Genomic DNA, 24576 nt, shown 5'->3' on the forward strand with positions numbered 1-24576 from the left:
TGGCCTTCCTGGCTTTGGTTATCGCCAGGAACTAGGAAAAGGCAAACACTGCCCAAGACAGAAGGAAGCCAGGAAGCTTCTGGAACCCCAAGCTTAAAATATTATGAATGGAAATCATTAGGAGGGGATAAAGTGATATAAGAAAAGATTTCTCCCCCATATTTTTCCTTTTTTATCTGAGCCTACTTTTAAGAAATTGGTATCTGTGGCATCATTGTGAAACCATGACCATGCTACCCATGATCAAAGTTTGAAAACTGGACTGGATGATTGTAACTTCGAAAGTTACTGCACAGTCTAAATTTTCCAGGTTGGAGCCTGTGTTCTTTCTAAATTGATTGGGAAAAGACCAGAATTGGCTTCATAGTGTTATTATGGTTCTGAAACCTGGCTGCACATTAAAATCATATGGAGCTTAAAAAAAAATAACCAAACCCATGCTGAAAGCTCATTCCAGGTCAATTATATTATGGTCTTTGGAAAATAAGGCCTAGGCACTGGGGATGAGGAGTGGCAAGCTTGGAACTACAACCATTGCACCTGATGTGGGGGATCTGTACATCTGTATTTAATCACCGGCCCCACCCCCAGGTGATCTTGATGTAAGATTAAGTTTGTGGGCCACAGATATAGCCTAAGGAAATAAGTAAAAGAATGGAAAAAGCTTCCATCCAAAGATGTTTACCTCTCAGGATTATATATGAGACAGCTAAGGCTGTCTCTAGAGCAGTCATGTCACATCACATGGCTTAACACAAGAGCCTGCTGACCAGGGGGAGTTCAGAATGAACAACTGCCTTAAGCATGTTAATCAACCCAAGAAAAAAGGTCACTTACAAATTGGAGGCCTGAGTAGGGAAAAACCACCCTATTGTTGAGACCCAGAAGACCTCTCAACAGCAGGAAAATATCTAGGCTCATTTTTAAAACTTCATTTGTGTCTGGGACATTGAAGCATAAAATAGGTTTTCTGGGTAAATGACCATATCTGCCTTCCATTCCTAGCTGCTTTGGTTAAGACAGACTTATTTTTATGAACCAAATATCCACTCTTGCTTCTGGCCTTGGCACAGTTCACATGGAGCATCCTATCCCATCCACTTCAAACTACGGCTAGCCTAGAGATGCCAGCAGCTTCTGGAAGTGGTGCTGCTCCCGTCTGCTAGCCCAGAGGATGCTGGAGTCAAGGTCTACAGAATATCTCTGATTAACGCCACCTGCCTGCCACTCCACACACTGCCAGGTCAGGAAGTTCTGACCTCAGGCGGGTGGTAAGCCCTGGGATCCTTACCTGCTTGCCTCGTTTTCCTGGTCTTCCTGTGGGTCCTCGGTGTCCTGCTATCCCAGGTTCACCTTTTGGACCCATTTCACCCTGGAAAGAAGGAAAGAGAAGCAAGAGAGGACTTAGGGCATGTGGAGTGGGCACATCTACACAGGTCTAGCCAGTCATTGGCTACGAGGGCAGTCTACTTGATCATTCCGAATCTATGCCAACTGGGCTGCCCTGCAAGGTTAGCAGAGTGAGGAAGTCATGAGAAAGGCAGACATGTCTTTCATGGAAGAGGAGGGAAGGAAGAAGGTAATTCTGAGTGGGTTATCTGTTACCTGAGAGGGACAGGTGTGGAGCAGCACACATTTTGATGGCCAAATAGAAGAGACAAATCATCACCCAGAACAGGCAGTGAGAGGCTGGGGCATCCAGCACAGCATGCCTGTGCTAATTACTACAAGCTGTCTGGGAAAACGCTTTCCTTCTAGTTGGAATTTTATGTTGTGTTTTCTTACGTGCTGTTTTTAGCACAAATTCAAATCTGGAGGTTTTTAAATGATTGGACACTGTTTTGCCAGCTGTCATCTTTGGGAAGTTTCTACTCATTTAATGACTCTTGCTTAGGATTATGTGCTTGCCCACTCTTAGTAAGCATTGGTTTGAGTTCCAGCTCACTTCCATTTGATTTAGATGAAAGTTCTTTTGTGGGAGAGATGTTCCAAACATATGTTCACATCTTCAATATAATTATTGAAAAAGGCATGGAGAACAATGGAAACAATATTCCTGTTTGTAAAGCTCTATGTTGAACTATCAAAACCCAATGTACCCATTGCAGAATTTCATAGTTTAAGGCCAATATTTCACAAAACTCATTTCTCCATCTTAGTTTCTCTCCTTCTTCCCCATTTTCTTCTACATGGATTCCAGCCCCACTTACTATTTCTTTGGGTCAGCCCACAGGGCGCTTCATTCCTATCTCCAGTAATCCCCCAACAGCCCAGAATGCACAGCCAACAAGAAAAATTTAGCAATAGCAACCATGAGTGTTAATCAGCAGCCAGTGCCCATGAAGAGCTGCCCAGACACTCAGAGAGAACAAAAAACACCCAGGCACTTTTTCACATGGCAGTCAGAGGAGGTATAACACAATGGAAAATTCCAGGGAACACCTGTATATGGAAAGGATCAAACATAAAGCTCTGAAATTATCTGTCAGCTCAGCCAATGTGTCCCTACCCAAGCCACCAATGTCTTGTTTCACCAAGAATTGTCCTTAAATCTGTTATTTCTTTCCAACCCATACATCCTTCAACATTCTCTAGGGAATGGGAGCGTGTGAGAGGATAGGATGGATGCCGCATGCCATGGAGATGCTTGCAGTTTTTCCCTGGCTGTTTTAGAGAGGCTCGGGGATGTCTTTATGGCTGGGAGAAAACAGCAGCACAAGCAGCATTTTTTTTTTTTTTTCAGGGATTGTCAGAAGGAAGTGTGGCCCTTCTCTACATTAGCTTGAAGCAGTCAGGAATTTCTTGATCTAATTTCTCTCCCAAGACCTAATTATGGTCATCATATCAGCTCTGTCTTAAAACAGCCTGTCATAAAAGGGGAAGACAACTCTTCAGATGGGAAGTCTAGTAAATGGTGCAGAGGACAGAGAAGCTGCCATACTTAATTTTACAGTAATTTATTATTCTTTGACGTTCACTGTTGCCCTGAATGAAAAGCTAATCTAAATATTTTTAAGTAAAACTGTTTTTTCTCTTTTAACACTTCCTTTAATTTGCTTATATAATTAATCTATTCTTTTAACCCAACACCCTACCTAGGGTAGCAGAGTGTAGTTTCTGACAGCTTAAGGTAGTGATATAATAAATTAATGCATGTTGATTGAAAATATTTAAACACTTTCCACTGACTAGAAAAGGTAAGATAAAAATTGTTTTAGTTTGGTAAATAAAACTTTAAGGTGAACTTTTAAAAATGAAAAATACTAACAAAGCATCCCCTTTGCATGTTTGAAGAATATGATGGTTTGAGAACTATGTTAAAATAACAATTTCCAATGTCAATGTCTTATGGCATGAGGAGCCAAAATGATGTTAGCTTAGGAGCTGTTCCAAATGGCCATGTATGCCCTTTTCTCTCTTTATTCTCTGACATTCCCCCTCAACTACCCTTGTTCTTCTTCCCCAACCCTAACCCTCGGTAAAAGTTTCAAAACATATGTTGGTCAACAGTCACCTTCACAATTTTTGTCATCTCTATATACCACTGTTTTGCTATTTACTGAATATTTTTCTTTCTTTCTCTCTCTCTCTTTCTTCACTTCTTTCTTCTTTTCTTTTCTTTTCTTTTTTTTCAGAGACATGGTCTTTCTCTGTGCCCAGGCTGGAGAGCAGTGGCATAATCTCGGCTCACTGCAGCCTCAATCACCTGGGCTCAAGCAATTCTCCCACCTCAGCCTCCTGAGTCGCTGGGACTATAGGCATGTGCCACCATGACCTGCTAATTTTTTTTTTTTTAGAGATGAGATAGTACTATATTGCCCAAGCTGAGTATTTTTTTCTTTAAGTTACCTGAAATGGACCCTTTTTTATTAAGCCTTGTCCCAAGCAAGATATCCATTAAATATTTAACTATTTATTTATTTATTGAGACAGGGTCTGCCTCTGTGGCCCAGGCTGGAGTGCAGTGGTGCAATCATGGCTTACCGCAGCTTTGACTCCTGGGCTCAGGCCACCCTCCCGCCTCACCTTCCTAAGTATCTGGCACTACAGGTGCGAACTACCATGCCCAGCTAATGTTTTGTATATTTTTCTTGGTAGAAATGGGATTTCACCATGTTGCCCAGGCTAGTCTCGAACTCCTGGGTTCAAGCCATCTGCCCACCTCGGCCTCCCAAAGTGCTGGGATTACAGGCATGAGGCACCATGCCTGGCCAATATTTAACTATTTAAATACAAAATTTAACTCTTAAACAATGTTAGCAGTCTTCAGTTCAAATACTTTTGTGTCCTTCTGGCAGTATGTGCACCGCCCTTGAAGAAGGACTGCAATAAGGCACAGTGACCTTAAGCTAAAGACACCTGTGCCTTACACTGAGGCCTGTGTGCTGACAGGGGCTTTGACCGTTGTGGCTCAGATCTGAGTCCCCTGTGAGAAAGGTTTCTGCATTTGAATAGGACCACAGCCCTCTAAGAGGTAGGAAAAGCAAAAAAGCAAAAAAACAAACAAACAAACAAAAACCCAAAACCCAGATGGGTTGTCCTTTCCTTCCCATTGAGCTAGAGGGAGGCTCCAGACCATCCTGCCACCCTCTCCCCAGGGTGAAAAGCAACTTGCTTCCCGTCCCAAAATAGAAGTTTCCATGGTTAAACCCACCATCCCTGCCTGATAGACAAGGAGGCAGAGTTCTTTTTGTTGTGCTTGGAGGACCTGATATTTTTATTGAGGCCTATTTTCACTACCTCAAGGTTACTTACTTTCTGCCCCAACATTCCAGGAAATCCTGGGAAACCCTGTGAAAAGAGCAACAAATAATTGTGATCACCTCTGAAATAACACCTGAAATGGCTGTGGACAGGCTTTGTTGGTCATTTTCAAGATGGAGGCCTGTCCATCAGTCCATCATCAGTCCACGGATGGGGGTGGGTGGGGGCTGCTACTTGCACTGACATTTATCATTTCTATGGAAAGGTTTTCTCCATTACCTTTTCTCCTTTGGGACCCAGGTCACCCTTTTCACCTCTGGATCCCTAGGAAGAAACCATAGGAGAAAGTCAATGAGTTAATATCCTGGGAGGGAAATTCAAGCATTTCAAACTGAAAAGCTCCCTAAACCAAAACCCTCATTTTACAAGTGAAGAAATAGGCTCAGATATGTCAGGTGACTTCTCCAGGGAAGGAATGCTTTGTGATCTACTTCTTGTTGAACCCCAAAGACCTCTTGCATTCATAAAGGACAACTCACGGAAAATTCTGGGCCCCAAATCCTCTCTCATCCTGTAGGAAATTTGTCCACAGGTTGATGCTGTTTTGATTTGGTTTTTGGCCAGGTCAGAAGGTTGTGTGGTGGTGAAAGCTTGGCCTAAAGACATGCATCACCAATTTCCTCCAGCACTCTGTGCAAACTGTGCTTATTCTCTACCTGGCACGGCCTTCATTTGCTTATGTGCTCCACACGAGGGGCCTCTGCCTCTATGGGGAGCCCTTCTCTTACCAGCTTGCCCTGCTTCAGGAGGTCCCTCACTTCTCTCTCAGTCCACTGACAAAGGGTGGGGAATAGCTAGGGATGGTGGCTTCAGTTGCAGACTAAAGAGAGACCTGGACCCATTCTCTGCATGTCTCTGATTCCAGAGCCAGTAGCCCAGACCAGGCTCTAGGACACCATCCAAGAAAAGCACTAACCTTTTCCCCTCTGGATCCAGGGTAGCCCTAAAAGAAAGCAGAAGGTACATTTACAATCAGCCCTGTAGGACTTCTGAGTTTGGTGGAAGAATAGAAGGAATCCCTGAATGTGGTGGTAAGGTATGTCTCCACATTGCACTGTGAGTTTTAGTGGGGTTGCAGCACCAAACACAAAGATGTCCCAGAGGGTTGTGGTTATACCAGGCCTAAAAGGAACATTGCTTTTATCACTCTGCAAAGTCCTGATCAAAGGTTTCCATCTGCTCTGATGTCCAGAAGCTTGGTTCTTCCTGCCCAAGAGAACAGCAGGAATGGCATCCCTATGCCCCTGCATCCCAGGGCATGATGTTCTCCAAAGGGCTGGTAAAGGCAGGCTCTCCAATATCCGCGACATTCCCTAGTCCGGGACTGCAGCCCCACCCAGTCCCTATGTTTGTAGACAGCAGCTGCTCCAGAGCCTGACAGAGATCTGGGAACGTCCATTTGGACCCCACACTGACCTTGGAGCCCATTGGTCCTCTTGACCCTGGCAAGCCCATCATACCCAGGTCACCTTTTTCACCCTGTGGGAATTAGAAGAAGAAAAGACCCACGGTGATATTTTTTAGAGAAACTGAACCAGGAAGTCACAGGCAAGATTGGGAAGGAACTGGGGATATCAGGGCTGGCTTGTAAATCTGAGGACCCCAGATGCACCCACTTTCTCCCTCCTGAGGTCCCAAAACTCCGTACTCCACATTTCATTCTTGTGTTTAAGATTAAATATAAAATGAAAACGCCCAAAGTGAAGCAGATCCCCACACCAACTGCTCACTAAGATGTTGTATATGGTAATACTTGGTATTTTCCTAGCGAGGATAGTGAGAGAGTAGTGGAGGGGGCATGACGGAACTGGGGCCCCAGAAAACAAGGTGTCAATACACGCAAAAAACATTGCCTGCTTTGCTCTTTGCATAGGAAGGGTCCTCAGAATGATTTGTGGTTGGGACTTCCAGCACCCACCCTCTGTACTAAAAATACTCTATACCAGCACTAACCAATAGAAATATAAGGTGAGCCACATACTTAATTTTAAACTTTTAAAAGAAGTCACCTTAAAGTAAAACTAAACGAATGAAGTTAATTTTAATAGATCTCCTTTAATCTAATTAATCATCCCAACTTGTAATCTATACAAAAATTATTGAGATATTTTACATTGTGCTTTTCATAATAAGTACTTGAAATCTGCTATGTAATTTACATTTACACATCTCCATTCAGGTGCTAAATTTTCATCCAAAATATTTAATCTGTACTTAGAGATCATAAAATTTATAGTTGAAAAAGCAGATTCATGCATTCAAGTTGCTCCAAACATACTTTAACATTTTCAAATAACTGAATTTAGTAAAGGTTAATTCAAATAGTTAAAATTTAAAAATTCAGTTCCTCAGTAGCACTAGCAACATTCCACGGGCTTGAGGGTCACATGTGGCTACTGGCTGCTGTGCAGGACAGCTCAGCTGTATGCAGAGGATTTTTAAAATATCCTTTTGGGACTTTTCCTAAGAGGACTGGACACACAGTTTTCCACTGCTATAATATAGCCAGTAAACAAATCAGAGCAGATGGTGAGATCCACCTGCCCAGCTCTGACTTCTGCAGATAAAACTCTGAGTCACGCCTCTGAACCCTCTAGTCTATGACTACTAGTGGGAAAAACAGAGGCACAGATGGGGATGTGCTTGCTTTCCATAGCCTGACTGAGGAAGGAGATTTCATCAGCACTCGACAATCCCTCTCTGAATGTAGGATTTCCATCCTTCAGCCAGCCAACACCACCTTCTCAACTCTCCATTCCCTGCCAGGTCAGCATGACAGGCAAGAGCTTCCCAGACGCAAGCCCCTCTTAGGTCATCTCAGGGAAACCAGAGTGGGGTGCTAGTTCCTAGGACAAAGGAGAACCACGGCCCCTGTAGAAGAGGGTACCAGCCCCCTATTTCTCCTCCCACAGGAACAGAGCTGTTGCACTGATCAAGGTCTTGCAGGCCAAGTGAAGGAGGAAGTATCTGGGGCCCTGTGGCCAGTCCTTAAGCTCTCTTCTTCTTCCCCCTCTTGAAGAAGGGATTCCCTGACTATGTGCCAGGAGCCAGGAAAGCTGCCATCTTCCCCCCTCTTGTTTTGACACCGCATGAGCCCTGAGAGCATGCCACACTTACCCTGGGTCCTTCAGGGCCTGGCCAACCGATGGGCCCAGGCATGCCAGGAACACCTGGGGGGCCAGGTCTACCCTTCAAAGACCAAGAACAAAAGTCAGGGCAACTGGGTTTGTTTCTTTACTTCTAATAAATATGTTTTGTCTCTGGGGCCCAGAGGAGACAGTGGGTTCTCTAGGCATGGCTACTATGACCCTCATCCCCACTCTCCGAAGACTGATGGCCTGACAAGCCCTTGGTGTCACACTGTATCATCAAATAAGACCTTATTCTTCTCAAGAAATGGAGGGTGGTGAGAAAGGGACTCTAAACTTCTTGGTTTTTTAATTTTTGTCACTTCTACCCACCCCCACCCAAAAGTCCCCTGCGTTCCAATGGGTTCTTTCCAAGGATGTGCTATGGAATGAGATAGGATTACATTTGGGGAGCAGTAGCAGATGCTGTCAGCACTCTTTCAAGGTCTTTTTGACCTGCTCAGAGTGCCCATCGCCCAGAGGCTACCTTCCTTGCTGCTAACAGCTCATTTCTGCTACCTGTAACTGCGGTTTGCCCTTGAGCAATTGGAGCTGCCCAGTAATTTATGTAACTCTCCTTCCTGCAGCCAATAGTCCAGCTCCCTTACCTTTGGGCAGTTGACACTCTCAAGCTCCCCCTAGATATCAGACTGCTAAAGCTCGACTTCACCTGATACCACACCTTTGCCTGGCTTCTCCCATTCTCCCTACAGGTTCCTCCCGAGAGTGGTCCCATAATAATGTATTCACTTGCACAGGGTACATGTCACCTGTGTCTCTGCCTAAGCCAGGGCTATGGAAGAGCAAGCCCTGCAAGAGAGAGTGGGTGCAGGTGCTAAGGGCCTATCTTGACCTTGTGCCCATTAGCTAATTTCGCAATTAGCTAGAGATGTGAAGGGCTCAGCCCCTAAACCAGATATACCAAATCCTGGCACGTGTACTGGTTTCTACTGTTGCCTCCCACATCCATGGCGACATCACTAATCAATCATGGTCCTTGTTAGGCCTGAGCATGGACACCACAGCAGAATATCCTTTGACCATTGCCATGGAGACCACCCCAGCACTTCAGACAGCCACTGTGCCTTGGCTATAGTTTTCATCTGTGCCCTAAAGAGTTGTAACTTTGTCTTGCAAAAGTCTGTTTAAGGATCTTGTGGACCATGAAACCATTTAATAAACCATTTAACAATAAATATAGTAATTTATATTTAGAGCCATGGACATCTTTCTTGGCCAAAGTTTTGCACGCTTGTCTATAACCAAGACCTAGAAATTCAGTGCCAGTATCCACTGACCTCAGCAAATATAATAGGCAGCTGATTTACTCCCTCCTGACACTAATGAGAGCCTTGATAACATGTGTTTGGTTCACGCAGAGTCACCGTGACCTTAAGTAACCTCCATTTATTTCAGCTGAGCCAAAAAGCAAAAGCCATTTGTTTCTGTCTGCTCTGGCACTTTATTCAAATTTAATCAAACAGAGAGTGACAGTCATTCAATGTCACTGGTTGGAGCTATGAAGGGTTTCTCTGATGGGTAGCAGAGTGAGATGGTCTGGGGTTGGGGCGGGAAGTGAGAGGGGTGGAATTTGGCCAGGCTTGGCAGCCCCCGGAAGAAGTCTGAATGCCTGGCAGTAGCAGGCTCCTGCTCCTGAACAAAGAAGTTGACAGAAAGGGCAAGGTTACTACTGTCACCATCGAGACAGCAGCACCATCACTGTCCACCTGGGTATCAGTGACCACTGAAGTGCATTGCTGTTCCCCCCTCCCTAGGAGTGCATGCACACACATGAAGCACAGACGCTCATGTGACACTCACAGAACAGCGCAGACCATACCTTCCTTCCTGGTCGGCCAAGCTCCCCCTATGGATGGAGAAGACAGGTAAGGAGAGGCTGCTTTGGAAGAGATGTTCTGGAAGCAGAAGCCTTAGTAGAGCTGATGACTGGGCATGGCCATGTGGCTCAGTTGCTTGGCTGCTGCTCACGGCCCCTCTGCCATGTCGATAGGCCACGTCAAAATACACCAGTGGTATCCCATATGTGCTGCAGCAGCCCAGCCATCATGGAACCCAGCCTCTCACCAAGGCAGAGTTAGCACATGTTTGGAAATCTCAACTAGGAAATTCTCAGTGGGATGCCCAGAAAACAGGCTGGAATTGCCAAGGAAAGAAGGGTTGAAGAAAGTAGTGGTCCATACCTTTTCTCCCTTTGGTCCTGTCTTGCCAGGAAGCCCCGGTGGACCCTAATCAATCAAGATAAAAAGTGAAGAAAGTATATATCAGTCTGAAGCTGGATGGGTGTGAGGCTCTTGGTGCACTGGGCTCCTACAGCAGCAACATCATTCTCTGGGCAGATGTAGGGCTCCAGGGACCCATGGAGGCTTTTCCTTTGCCCTCCAGCCCAGTCCCCTCCTCTGTTCCTCCTCTTTAGCTTTCTCTGAGCTGGTTTTCCAGTGGCTCCATGGTTGCAATGCTTACATATCTACTCTGTGGTTTTAATTTTCTCCCTGTAACTCTTTGTTTGCATAAAACATCCCAAGTGCTTGTTGAGAGCAACAAAAGAGTCTTGAATAAATCCCATTTGCTGAAAACAAGAGGCTTCATCACCTCTCATATCTTTTCAGTTACTCTTGCCAAACTTCCCTGGGGGCCTGACAAGAGACAAGTTAAGTTTTGCACATAGCAGCAGCTGCCACCTTGGAAATTCCCATGGTCAATTTGTGGGTACTAGGTGCCAAATAATTTTTGCCTTTCTTCAGCAGGAAAAAAGTCTTCTTTTTTAAGACACTAAGAATGTTGGCAAGTAAAGAGTGCATTTTTGTGCCTTGGAGAGGAGCTGACTCTAGCTCAGGGACCCTACAACTCACTGCATCAAAGCTTTGCATATCCACAGCCAGAATGTGCCTGCAAAATGCTCAGTCAGCTGTTTTCCAAATTCTCCAAAACAGCAGAGAGGAAATTCATCAAAATTCCCCAGGCCCCCACTGCAACCCCAGGATCTGCAGGTGAACATGCATAGTGCAAAGCCTGTTTGAAATATGATTTCTTTTTTTAAATTATACTTTAAGTTCTAGGGTACATGTGCACAACGTGCAGATTTGTTACATATGTATACATGTGCCATCTTGGTGTGCTGCACCCACTAACTTGTCATTCACATTAGGTATATCTCCTAATGCTATCCCTCCCCACTCCCCCCACCCCACGACAGGCCCTGGTATGTGATGTTCCCCACCCTGTGTCCAGGTGTTCTCATTGTTCAATTCCCACCTATGAGTGAGAACATGCGGTGTTTGGTTTTCTGTCCTTGCGATAGTTTGCTCAGAATGATGGTTTCCAGCTTCATCCATGTCCCTACAAAGGACATAAACTCATCCTTTTTTATGGCTGCATAGTATTCCATGGTGTATATGTGCCACATTTTCTTAATCCAGTCTATCATTGATGGACATTTGGGTTGGTTCCAAGTCTTTGCTATTGTGAATAGTGCCCCAATAAACATACGTGGGCATGTGTCTTTATAGCAGCACGATTTACAATCCTTTGGGTATATACCCAGTAATGGGATGGCTGGGTCAAATGGTGTTTCTAGTTCTAGATCCTTGAGGAATCACCATACTGTCTTCCACAATGGTTGAACTAGTTTACAATCCCACCAACAGTGTAAAAGTGTTCCTATTTCTCCACATCCTCTCCAGCACCTGTTGTTTCCTGACTTTTTAATGATCGCCATTCTAACTGGTGTGAGATATCTCATTGTGGTTTTGATTTGCATTTCTGTGATGGCCAGTGATAATGAACATTTTTTCATGTGTCTCTTGGCTGCATAAATGTCTTCTTTTGAGAAGTGTCTGTTCATACACTTCACCCACTTTTTGATGGGGTTGTTTGATTTTTTCTTGTAAATTTGCTTAAGTTCTTTGTAGATTTTGGATATTAGCCCTTTGTAGATTTTGGATATTAGCCCTTTGTCAGATGGGTAGATTGTAAAAATTTTCTCCCATTCTGTAGGTTGCCTGTTCACTCTGATGGTAGTTTCTTTTGCTGTGCAGAAGCTCTTTAGTTTAATTAGATCCTATTTGTCTATTTTGGCTTTTGCTGCCATTGCTTTTGGTGTTTTAGTCATGAAGTCTTTGCCCATGCCTATGTCCTGAATGGTATTGCCTAGGTTTTCTTCTAGGGTTTTTATGGTTTTAGGTCTAACATTTAAGTATTTAATCCATCTTGAATTAATAAGGTATTAATCTTGTATAAGGTGTAAGGAAGGGATCCAGTTTCAGCTTTCTACATATGGCTAGCCAGTTTTCCCAGCACCATTTATTAAACAGGGAATCCTTTCCCCATTTCTTGCTTTTGTCAGGTTTGTCAAAGACCAGATGGTTGTAGATGTGTGGTATTATTTCTGAGGGCTCTGTTCTATTCCATTGGTCTATATCTCTGTTTTGGTGCCAGTACCATGCTGTCTTGGTTACTGTAGCCTTGTAGTATAGTTTGAAGTCAGGTAGTGTGATGCCTCCAGCTTTCTTCTTTTGGCTTAAGATTGTCTTGGCAATGTGGTCTCTTTTTTGGTTCCATATGAAGTTTAAAGTAGTTTTTTCCAATTCTGTGAAGAAAGTCATTGGTAGCTTGATGGGGATGGCACTGAATCTATAAATTACCTTGGGCAGTATGGCCATTTTCACAATATTGATTCTTCCTATCCATGAGCATGGAATGTTCTTCCATTTGTTTCTGTTCTCTTTCATTTCATTGAGCAGTGGTTTGCAGTTCTCCTTGAAGAGGTCCTTCACATCCCTTGTAAGTTTGATTCCTAGGTATTTTATTCTCTTTGAAGCAATTGTGAATGGGAGCTCACTCATGATTTGCCTCTCTGTTTGTCTGTTATTGGTGTATAGGAATGCTTGTGATTTTTGCACATTGATTTTGTATCCTGAGATTTGCTGAAGTTGCTTATCAGCTTAAGGAGATTTTGGGCTGAGATGATGGGGTTTTCTAAATATACAATCATGTCATCTGCAAACAGGGACAACTTGACTTCCTCTTTTCCTAATTGAATACCCTTTATTTCTTTCTCCTGCCTGATTGCCCTGGCCAGAACTTCCAACACTGTGATAGGAGTGGTGAGAGAGGGCATCCCTGTCTTGTGCCAGTTTTCAAAGGGAATGCTTCCAGGTTTTGCCCATTCAGTATGATATTGGCTACGGGTTTGTCATAAATAGCTCTTATTATTTTGAGATACGTCCCATCAATACCTAGTTTATTGAGAGTTTTTAGCATGAAGGGCTGTTGAATTTTGTCAAAGGCCTTTCCTGAATCTATTGAGATAATTATGTGGTTTTTGTCTTTGGTTCTGTTTATATGCTGGATTACATTTATTGATTTGCATATGTCGAACCAGCCTTGCATCCCAGGGATGAAGCCCACTTGATCATGGTGGATAAGCTTTTTGATGTGCTGCTGGATTTGGTTTGCCAGTATTTTATTGAGGATTTTTGCATCAATGTTCATCAGGGATATTGATTTAAAATTCTCTTTTCTTGTTGTGTCTCTGCCAGGCTTTGGTATCAGGATGATGCTGGCCTCATAAAATGAGTTAGGGAGGATTCCCTCTTTTTCTGTTGATTGGAATCGTTTCAGAAAGAATGGTACCAGCTCCTCCTTGTACCTCTGGTAGAATTTGGCTATGAATCCGTCTGGTCCTGGACTTTTTTTGGTTGGTAGGCTATTAATTATTGCCTCAATTTCAGAGCCTGTTATTGGTCAATTCAGGGATTCAGCTTCTTCCTGGTTTAGTCTTGGGAGGGTGTATGTGTCCAGGAATTTATCCATTTCTTCTAGATTTTCTAGTTTATTTGTGTAGAGGTGTTTATAGTGTTTTCTTATGGTAGTTTGTATTTCTGTGGGATCAGTAGTTATATCCCCTTTATCATTTTTTATTGCGTCTATTTGATTCTTCTCTCTTTTCTTCTTTATTAGTCTTGCTAGCGGTCTATTAATTTTATTGATCTTTTCAAAAAACCAGCTCCTGGATTCATTGATTTTTTTGAAGGGTTTTTTCGTGTCTCTATCTCCATCAGTTCTGCTCTGATCTTAGTTATTTCTTGCCTTCTGCTAGCTTTTGAATGTGTTTGCTCTTGCTTCTCTAGTTCTTTTAATTGTGATGTTAGGGTGTCTATTTTAGATCTTTCCTGCTTTCTCTTGTGGGCATTTAGTGCTATAAATTTCCCCCTACACACTGCTTTAAATGTGTCCCAGAGATTCTGGTATGTTGTGTCTCTGTTCTCATGGGTTTCAAAGAACATTTTTATTTCTGCCTTCATTTCATTATGTACCCAGTAGTCATTCAGGAGCAGGTTGTTCAGTTTCTATGTAGTTGAGTGGTTTTGAGTGAGTTTCTTAATCCTGAGTTCTAGTTTGATTGCACTGTGGTCTGAGAGACAGTTTGTTATAATTTCTGTTCTTTTACATTTGCTGACGAGTGCTTTACTTCCAACTATGTGGTCAGTTTTGGAATAAGTGTGATGTGGTGGTGAGAAGAATGTATATTCTGTTGACTTGGGGTGGAGAGTTCTGTAGATGTCTGTTAGGTCTGCTTGGTGCAGAGCTGAGTTCAAGTCCTGGATATCCTTGTTAACTTTCTGTCTCATTGATCTGTCTAATGTTGACAGTGGGGTGTTGAAGTCTCCCATTATTATTGGGTGGGAGTCTAAGTCTCTTTGTAGGTCTCTAAGGACCTGCTTTATGAATCTGGGTGCTCCTGTATTGGGTGCATATATATTTAGGATAGTTAGCTCTTCTTATTGAATTCATCCCTTTACCATTATGTAATGGCCTTCTTTGTCTCTTTTGATCTTTGTTGGTTTAAAGTCTGTTTTATCAGAGACTAGGATTGCAAGCCGTGCTTTTTTTTTGTTTTCCATTTGCTTGGTAGATTTTCCTCCATCCCTTTATCTTGAGCCTATGTGTGTCTCTGCACGTGAGATGGGTCTCCTGAATACAGCACACTGATGGGTCTTGACTCTATCCAATTTGCCAGTCTGTGTTTTTTAACTGGAGCATTTACCCATTTACATTTAAGGTTAATATTGTTATGTGTGAATTTGATCCTGTCATTATGATGTTAGCTTGTTATTTTGCTCATTAGTTGATGCAGTTTCTTCATGGTGTTGATGGTCTTTACCGTTTGGTATGATTTTGTGGTGGCTGGTACCAGTTGTTCCTTTCCATGTTTAGTGCTTCCTTCAGGAACTCTTGAAAGGCAGGCTCTTCTTGAGGAGTATCTTTGTGGCGTTCTCTGTATTTCCTCAATTTGAATGTTGGCCTGCCTTGCTAGGTTGGGGAAGTACTCCTGGATAATATCCTGAAGAGTGTTTTCCAACTTGATTCCATTCTCCCCGTCACTTTCAGGTACACCAATCAGACGTAGATTTGGTCTTTTCACATAGTCCCATATTTCTTGGAGGCTTTGTTCATTTCTTCTTACTCTTTTTTCTCTAAACTTCTCTTCTCGCTTCATTTCATTCATTTGATCTTCAATCACTGATACCCTTTCTTCCACATGATTGAATTGGCTACTGAAGCTTGTGCATGTGTTGTGTAGTTCTCGTGCTGTGGTTTTCAGCTCCAACAGGTCATTTAAGGTCTTCTCTACACTGTTTATTCTAGTTAGCCATTCATCTAATCTTTTTTCAAGGTTTTAGCTTCTTTAGCTCGGAGAAGTTTGTTATTACCGATCGTCTGAAGCCTTCTTCTCTCAACTCATCAAAGTCATTCTCTGTCCAGCTTTGTTCCATTGCTGGTGAGGAGCTGCACTCCTTTGGAGGAGAAGAGGCACTCTGATTTTTAGAATGTTCAGCTTTTCTGCTCTGGTTTCTCTCCATCTTTGTGGTTTTATCTACCTTTGGTCTTTGATGATGGTGATGTACAGATGGGATTTTGGTGTAGATGTCCTTTCTGTTTGTTAGTTTTCCTTCTAACAGTCAGGACCCTCTGCTGCAGGTCTGTTGGAGTTTGCTGGAGGTCCACTCCAGACCCTGTTTGCCTGGGTATCACCAGTGGAGGCTGCAGAACAGCAAATATTGCAGAAGAGCAAATGTTGCTGCCTGAGCCTTCCTCTGGAAGCTTCATCTCAGAGGGGCACCCAGCTGTATGAGGTGTCAGTCGGCCCCTACTGGGAGGTGTCTCCCAGTTAGGCTACTTGGGGGTCAGGGTCCCACTTGAGGAGGCAGTCTGTCCATTCTCAGATCTCAAACTCTGTGCTGGGAGAACCACTACTCTCTTCACAGCTCAGTTAGAAATGCAGAAATCAACCGTCTTCTGCATCGCTCACACTGAGGGCTATAGACTGGAGCTCTTCCTATTCGGCTGTCTTGGAACCTCCCTCCCTGAAATATGATTTCTGCAAAACTTATCCAAATAACAACAGCTCCCCTCAGCCTGTGGTTCCCAAGTCTATCAGCACATTACAATTCTCTGGAGATGTTTGAAAAATCCCAAAGCCCAGGCCCCAACCCAGCCCAATTAAATAACAACCTCAGGCTGGGTGGGGTGGCTTATGCCTATAATCTCAGCACTTTGGGAGGCCAATGTGGGAGTATTGCTTGAGCCCAGGAGTTTGAGACCAACCTGGTCAATGTGTTGAGACCCTGTCTCTACAAAATATTAAGAAATTAGCCAGGCATGATGGTATGTGCACCTGTGGTCCCACCCTCCTGTGGGAGGCTGATGTAGGAGGCTCACTTAAGCCTGGGAAGTGAAGGCTGCAGTTAGCTGCGATCAAGCCACTGCACTCTAACCTAGGTGGCACAGTGAGACTCTCTTCCCAATAATAATAATGATAATAATAATAAATAGCAATCTCAGGGGAGGAGGAACAAGCATCAGTAATTTTTGGAGCTCCCCCAGGGAATCGTAATGTGTAGATAAGTTTGAGAACCAGTATCTTTGGTTTATTCACCTTCTATTTTTGGATAGGGAAGAGGAGGGTTTTCATTCCAATCTCTTGATTCTTCCAAGCCTTAGTTCTTTCTGTTTCTTGAAGTGGACTAGAACTATTTCACAAGGTCATTGTGCTCTAGCTCAGTGCCTCTCCAACTTTAATGTGCAGATGACCCACTCCGTTCACTTGGTGGAGGGGTGGTATCTTGTTAGAATGCAGATTCTGATAGAATGAATTTGTCAGGGGGATGACATTCTGCATTTCTAACCAGCTCCCATATGATACCAATGTTGCTGGTTCACAGACCTCACTTTGAGTAGGGACAGCATCCACATTGTGTTCTAAGGACATGAAGGTGGCTACACAGGACCCTGCATTTGGGCAACACAGCCTCCACATGCTTCAAAGGGGATTGCACGAGGTTAGAGATGTGTGTGACCAGAGAGCCACTGTCCTGAGGTCAGCAGAAAATCCCCCTTTTCTTTTCTATATTCCATGGGTTCTAGCATGCCTGAGACCTGTTAGTGTAGACTGCTGAAGGTGGGAAGATAGAAATGCACCTCCGAGGATTCTCATCTTGCTTTTCTGCAGGCTTCCAAGCTTTTCTGTGGCAGCCTCTGGCCAACTCTGGGTTCAAAGTCCTGTTTTCTTTCTTGTATCCAACAAGTAATTACGGAGAACCTATACCAACCCCGTGCACTGTTGTAGACAGGGAATATAATAGTGAGTGAGATGGACAATGTCTCTGTTCCCACAGACCAAGGTTTGATACAGGTTTTCTTTAGAAGGCTACATTGTCAATATCTTAGGCTTTGTGGGCCACATTTGGTCTCTGTCACAACTACTCAACTCTGCCTTTGTCGTGAAAAAGCAGCCACAGACAATAAAACTTCGATGTTTTATTGAAACTTTGCCGCAGGATTTGATCCACAGATATAGTTTGCCAACCCCTGCCATTGAGCTTACGTTTTACAGAGGGGAGACCAGGAACAGAAGAACAGATAAGAAAACTGTAACAGGATGAAAAAATCATGCAGAGAATTAAAGTAGGTCATTGTGGCAGAGAGTGATTGTGGTGGTCGTGTGGGCAGGAGACTACTTTAAGTGGTTGAGTGGGTGGTAGAAGAAGGCATTTCTAAGGAGGTGGCATAGAAGCTGAGTCCTGAGTGGCCAACAGGAGCTGGCCATGATACAAACCAGAAAGAACATTCCAAACAGCAGGAACCACAAGTGCAAAGGCCCTGTGGCTAAAGCAAGCTTGGAGTGTTTGAGAACCCGAGAGATGGTCACTGTGGCTGAGTCAACGAGACAATGGAGGTGGTATGAGGTGATGTAGGAGATACAGGCCGGAGTCCCCTCTTGTGGGGCTTTGTAATCCAGGTGAGCCTTCAAGTGTCCAGAAGCCACAGGAGTGTTTACCCAGGTGGGTGATGTCATTTTTACGCCCCCTGCATGGGAAGGCACTTGGGAACTAACTGCTCCTTACACCCTCTTTCTCCTCCCCATGGAAGGCTCAGACCCAGCTGTCCCTCACCGATGGAGCACCCTCTTGGAGGCAGGCCAGAGGGGCCAGGACTCTGTGGGGTGGGGTCTCTGGAGGGTACTCTTGTTTGTCTAGAAATCCTTTCTGCAGCATTTTGACTGTTTCCCCTTTAGCTTTGGTGGGGAGGGGTGGGCTGCTTGGTAGCAATACCTGGGGGCCCAGTGAGGCAGGAAACCATCTCCTCTGCACCTCCACTTTCCTGTGCTGAACGCAGGCACCTCTGGGTCCACAGGAGGGGTCAATGGTTACATAAGGGGCACTGTCATCAAGTGTTTGTCTGATTGTAACTGTAATAAAAACCATATCCATAGAGGTGGCATCCTCATTTGATTCCCCCAAAATTCAGTATTGTAGGGACAATTATTATCCCCATTGCATAGATGAGGAAATCAAGGATGGGAGGCCAGAATTTACCTAGCAAAGAGTCAGTGTTCTATCCAAGTGGCTTTGGAGCAGGAAGTAAGCGAGAGAAGGAAAAACAGCTTTGTATCACATGAGAAAGAGCAGACACTAAGAGGCTCTGTGCAGTGGGCTTTCCTGCTCTAAACAGAAGACAGCGAGAGGGGTCCGGTAGAGTGCACCAACCTGGGGGCCGGGAGGCCCAGGGGAGCCTAGCGAGCCTTGCATGCACGGGGACTGCGAGGTCTCCAGTTCCAGCATGAGATTCTTCATGTCTGGGGAGAGAAGCTTCAGTACAAAGCAACACAGAGTTAGAGGTCAGGCGTAGGGGACAGAGGAAGGGTCACCATCCTGGACACAGACCTGCTCCGGGATCAGGTCTCTAAGCCTGGCAGTTCCCTGACACCCCAATGACTGCCCCAAGAAGATGACACCTTGGGCTACCAGTTTCTGTTCTCTCATCTGCTCTTGAGACGAACCTGGCTTGTATGGATTACAGACACCTCGTAGCCACTTTGGATAGAGTTTGGAAGCTCATTTCAGGGGCCTCTATCCAATGTGTAGGTTAGCACTGTCCAATGGAAACATAACTAACGTGAGGCACCAATAAGAGCAACACTGTAATTTTAAATTGTCTAGTAGTCACTTTTTTACCTTTCAAGAAGGTAAAAAGAAAAAAGTCAAATTAATTTTAATAATATACTTTCTTTAACCCAACAAAACTCAAATATTATCATTTTAACATATATTCAGTATTGGAAAGTTAACTAATGAGATAGTTTACATTCTTTTCTCATACTACTTCTTTCGAAATCCAGTATGTATTTTACACTTACAGCACACCTCAACTTGAACTAGCCACATTGCAAGTGCCAGATAGCTACATATGGCTAGTGGCTCCTGAATTGGACAGCTCAGGAGACAGAGCGTTGGGAAAGAGCTGAGAATCCCAAGTCCCCAGAATGCCCTGGCTGTTGTCTTCTAGGCCAGTTTCCCTAATCTTGCTCTTTTCCTCACCTGGTCCTTTCTTTCCAAATTCTGCTCCCTCTCACACCTCAGTGTGGCTACGGGAGAACTATTTCCTGAGTCACCTCATGGAAACGGTCTGTGTTAGACACGGGCTGCAGAAGGGAATTTCATAAACACTTGGGGAGAAGAAAAACAGAAGGGGAAATTCCATGTTTGAGCAGCTGATGGGAACCCAGGAAGTTATATTATAAATTCACCTCATGGTTTTTGAGAAGATGAGAAACTTTGCCAAATCCAATTCCTGCTAAGAAGAATCTCCCTCCATCATTTATTTAAGATATTTGGAGAATGGACACACCCCAGGAACTGCAAAATGTCCATTCCGGGGCTCAACTTCTGGGTGACAGTGGAGGGTTGAGGCTCTCAGAAAAGATTCCGGAGGCAGCTCAGGTGGAGTGGGGCAGGCAGGTGGGGCTGCGTGGTGTGCACTGAGTAGCCTGCACTTTTTTTCCTCTCATAAATCCCAAAGTACTCACCGGACTTCGGCCACCTCTGAAGAATGGTGGTGGGAACAGTGGTGGTGGAGGAGGCGTCAGCAGGCAGCATGCTTTGTGGCCACCACGCTTCTTCTGATCCAGGCTGGGAAGGGCTGTTCAGAGAAAACTGCCGCTCGTTAGCATGTGGTCAGTGCTGGGCCTCTGTCACACCCACCGTGCCCAGGGAAGACCCATCCTGCCACCCCAGACTTCCACATCTAATTTCTAGCCTGTTAGATGTGGATAGGCCTCCTGTTGGCTACTTGACATAGCAATTATTCCCTTGCCCTTGCCTTTGCTAGATTAAGATGGTTCATAAAGAAGCAGATGACTTGTCTGGACACTGACCATTATAAGGTTCAATTCTCCTTCCTCAGATACTGACTTGTCACTTTGTAGATGTAGCAGGAAATGCAAAGTTCAAACAGATTTCATCATATGCCCCCAGTAGTTGAGGAGAAGAAAGTGCTTGCTAATAACTTTAATATTGTACTCAGAAGGAAATTGTTTAGACAGGGAGGCAGCCAGGGCCAGTGGTAGCATTACTTACAGGACACCCAGACCCATGATTTAAAACACATACATTGACTCTAGACTTTACAAACACATTCACGTGTCACTCATTTCACTGGAGAGTTACGGTTTAATGTCTCAATATATGGGTAGCCTAATCTGCAGTATCAGGAAATAAAGGGAGGGCCCTGAACCTTTGTAGCTTTATTTTTACAAAAAGTCTCACCCATGTTCAATGTTAGTAAATGTTCAATGTTGAAGTATGCCTTACAAAAAGTACACAGATCAATAAGTTACAGTTCAACAGATCTCCATAAGGTGGACGTATCCTAGAAACCAGCACCCAGGTCAAGAAACAGCATTCCCCAGTGCCCAGAAGCTCCTTCAAGCTCCAATCTCTGCACCCCTTCCCATCCTGAATTCTAACACCAGAGATTCATTTTGACTAATTTTGCACTTTATGTAAATGGAATCATACAATATGAACTCTTGTCTTTGGCTTCTCTCTTTTAACATAGTGTCTATGGAAATCATCTAGGTTGCTGTTTATCATTGTTACTGCTGAATAGTGTCCCACTGAGTGACTATATCACAACCTACTCATCCATTCTGCTGAACATCGCTGATGTTCATTGGGTTGATACCACTACACATCCACCAGAATGGCTAAAGCAAAAAGGACAGAATATAAGAAATGTGGCAAGGATGTGGAACAACCACAACTATCACACATTAGCTGGCCAGAATGTAAATTGATCCAACCTCTTTGGAAAATTGCTTGTTATCTTCTATTAAAGCTGAACATAGACATATACTCTAGCCCAGCAATTTCACTCCTAGGTTTTTACCAATAGAAAAGTGGGTGCATTCAGAATCATGATTGCAAGTGATCTTTAAAGTTTCAGGTTCTGACTCCAAGCTTGAATCTCCTCCCCGGCATCTCTGAATGATGGGCATTGGCCAGGACCATATATATGTTCTCTGGTGTTTGCACTGAGAAAGCCCTGATTTGTGTCCCTACCTAATGAATCCAGTGGGGGTTATTGCAAATTTTTCAAGATAAACGTTTTAGTTAAGAGCCAGCTTGAATGGTTATAGTTTTATTTTTATACCAAAAAGTAAAAATTTCTCTTGAAATGGCCCTAAAAAAAAGAAGAAAAAAAAAGAAAAGTGGGTGTGTTTTCACCAAAATGCATGTATTAAAATGTTCATAGCAGCAATATCCATAATCACCCAAAGCTATGGTTTTTCAGTTCTCAGTTTTGGTGTCACGATGTACCTTCACTTCCACCCCTTCACGAAACCTCTGACCTCACAGAACATGCACGCCACATTGACCACCACAGGCTCTCAACCTTGAACCCAGTTTTCTGTCTTATCTCCCAGGGGCCAGCATCTGCCGACCATCTCCACCTTGTGCTCCAGGACCTGCCTCAGACACTAGACAAGTGCTAAGTGCTCCCCAGAAGTCGCCAGGTCGTGCGGTGTCCACGGGAATGGTAGCTCCGTGCACACACACTCGCTCGCACCCTTGATGATGGAGCATTCCACTGGCCTGTGCCAAAGACCCTCAGCCCTCTCAGGCCTAAAGCGACCTTTTACGGGAAATATTTTATAAAGACACCTTTATTATCCGGAAATGAAATTCACAAATAGTACAGCACGCTGACAGACAATTTAAAAAATCAATACAGTGCTCTTAATTCTACATAAAAGAGAAATACAAGAAAGTGATTTATGGGCCAGGCATGGTGGCTCATGCCTGTAATCCCAGCACTTTGGGAGGCCAAGGTGGGCAGATCACGAGGTCAAGAGATCGAGACCATCCTGGCCAACATGGTGAAACCCCATCTCTACTAAAAATACAAAAATTAGCTGGGCACGGTGGCATGCACCTGTAGTCCTAGCTACTCAGGAGGCTGAGGCAGAAGAATTGCTTGAACCTGGGAGATGGAGGTTGCAGTGAGCTGAGATTGTGCCACTGCACTCCAACCTGGCAACAGAGTGAGACTCCATCTCAAAAAAAAAAAAAAGAAAGTGATTTATGATACAAAAGTAAACATTTTGATTATAAGTGGTCAGACATAACCATATTAGAATACATAATGCTGTGGTTTGATGCTCACACTTACATGAAATCACAGTGAATGCAACAGCTCAAATAAAGATTATGGTATTGGCAAGTCTCATGCTACAAGGAATGTGTCCACCATGTGATGTGATTTTCTGAAATAATAAACAACACTGGGTAAAATTCCCGACTAGATAAAGCACAACCATTACTCCATAATTGTAGTCTTAGAAAACTCAATTTATATTATAACAGTGCTTTAAAAATGCTGCATAAGGCCGGGCACAGTGGCTCATGCCTTTAATCCCAGCACTTTGGGAGGCCAAGGTGGGTGGGTCACGAGGTCAGGAGATCGAGACCATCCTGGCTAACATAGTGAAACCCCGTCTCTACTAAAAATACAAAAAAATTAGCCGGGCGTAGTGGTGGGCGCCTGTAGTCCCACCTACTTGGGAGGCTGAGGTGGGAGAATGGCGTGAACCCGGGAGGCGGAGCTTGCAGTGAGCCGAGATCGCGCCACTGCACTCCAGCCTGAGCGACAGAGCGAGACTCCGTCTCAAAAAAAAAAAAAATGCTGTGTAAAAGAGAATTCAGTTCTAGAATGAGATAATTATATATAAGTACGAATGTTCCTTGGGACATTTCAAAGTCATGGAGGATGTGGGACAATTCTATCCCACCCTTTGCAAGACAGCTCTCACTCCTGACCCGGCTCAACAGACAGTGATGCTACCCATCCCAGCCTTTGAAACAACCAAAAATACCTTGAAAATTTCCAAAATGGCCCCAGTGAAAACTGTTGGCCTATCCAATGCTTGGTGCTTAGCTTGGTCACAAAAAGTTCCATAGAACCCAGCACTCAACGCCAAAGCAGCATCCACTCCAGGTCATACAAGTTAACGAGGGACTGAAGGAATTCAGAAAAACAGGAACAACAGGTGGCCACCAGCTGGGATAAACCTAGCTGTCTTTTGGGAAAGAGGGCATTCATGCTAATTCTGGAAAAGCAAGGAGAATTTAGACAGGAAGACTTCCAGACCACGAAAATATCTGGGGAAGTCATGCATACTTGAGCTAGGCCTTGAAGGGCTAGCTGGGGAGGTGGCTGATGGAAGGAGGGGAGGCTCCCCAGGGAGCGGGAGGAATGGCAGGAGAAAGACCCATGTTCCATTCAGGGCTACTTGGATTGTGAGAAGCAGAGCTTCACTCACATGGGCTCTGGGGAAAAAGGAGATTTATTGTAAAGTTAACAACTGTCAGAAAGAGCTGGAGCCAATGAGTCAATGGGACATGACACTGTCCTGGTATTTCTCTCACCTTCCTCGATCCCCTGTCCCCCATCTCCCCTTTTATGCTTCTTTCTGTGCATCTGATCCATTCCATCCTCTTTGGCGTCTTCACGCCCATCTCTCCATGACGGCTGACCCAGTCTTGCCTCACCTCTTTTACCTCCCCCATCTGCTTTGTCTGGAACATCCCCTTGTGGGTCTTAGTTCAAATAGCCACCACAGGGAATCTGTTTGCCCAGCCAGGTGACAGGTCATGGGGGCAGCTAAGCAGAGCCTGCCCTGGACCAGACTCAGACCCAGTCTTTAGCAGGATCTCAGGGTCTGTCACCAGCTCAACAGAGGCTGTGGGAGGAGTTTCTCCTGAGGAAGGCCAGGCAGACAGGCACTCCAAAATATGTCAAACAGGCTAGGCGTGGTGGCTCA

General features: G+C 44.3%; 1 protein-coding gene across 3 annotated transcripts in view; it reads right to left on the bottom strand.

Annotated features, from left to right (window-relative positions):
- COLQ (collagen like tail subunit of asymmetric acetylcholinesterase) overlaps positions 1-24576 on the bottom strand; it is a 71574-nt gene that overhangs the window by 19112 nt on the left and 27886 nt on the right. For 2 of the 3 annotated variants that reach the window (NM_005677.4, NM_080538.2), the window contains exons 2-11: positions 20281-20393; positions 18962-19063; positions 10094-10138; positions 9733-9759; positions 7882-7953; positions 6181-6243; positions 5681-5707; positions 4984-5028; positions 4756-4791; positions 1292-1372 (exon numbers count right to left, since the gene is read on the bottom strand). In NM_005677.4, coding sequence (NP_005668.2) covers positions 1292-1372; positions 4756-4791; positions 4984-5028; positions 5681-5707; positions 6181-6243; positions 7882-7953; positions 9733-9759; positions 10094-10138; positions 18962-19063; positions 20281-20393 — 611 coding nt within the window. The remainder of the gene's footprint in view (positions 1-1291; positions 1373-4755; positions 4792-4983; positions 5029-5680; positions 5708-6180; positions 6244-7881; positions 7954-9732; positions 9760-10093; positions 10139-18961; positions 19064-20280; positions 20394-24576) is intronic. The other variant, NM_080539.4, reaches the window with a different exon arrangement.

This window comes from Homo sapiens, chromosome 3, assembly GCF_000001405.40.
Source record: "Homo sapiens chromosome 3, GRCh38.p14 Primary Assembly".
Lineage (NCBI taxonomy): Eukaryota > Metazoa > Chordata > Mammalia > Primates > Hominidae > Homo > Homo sapiens.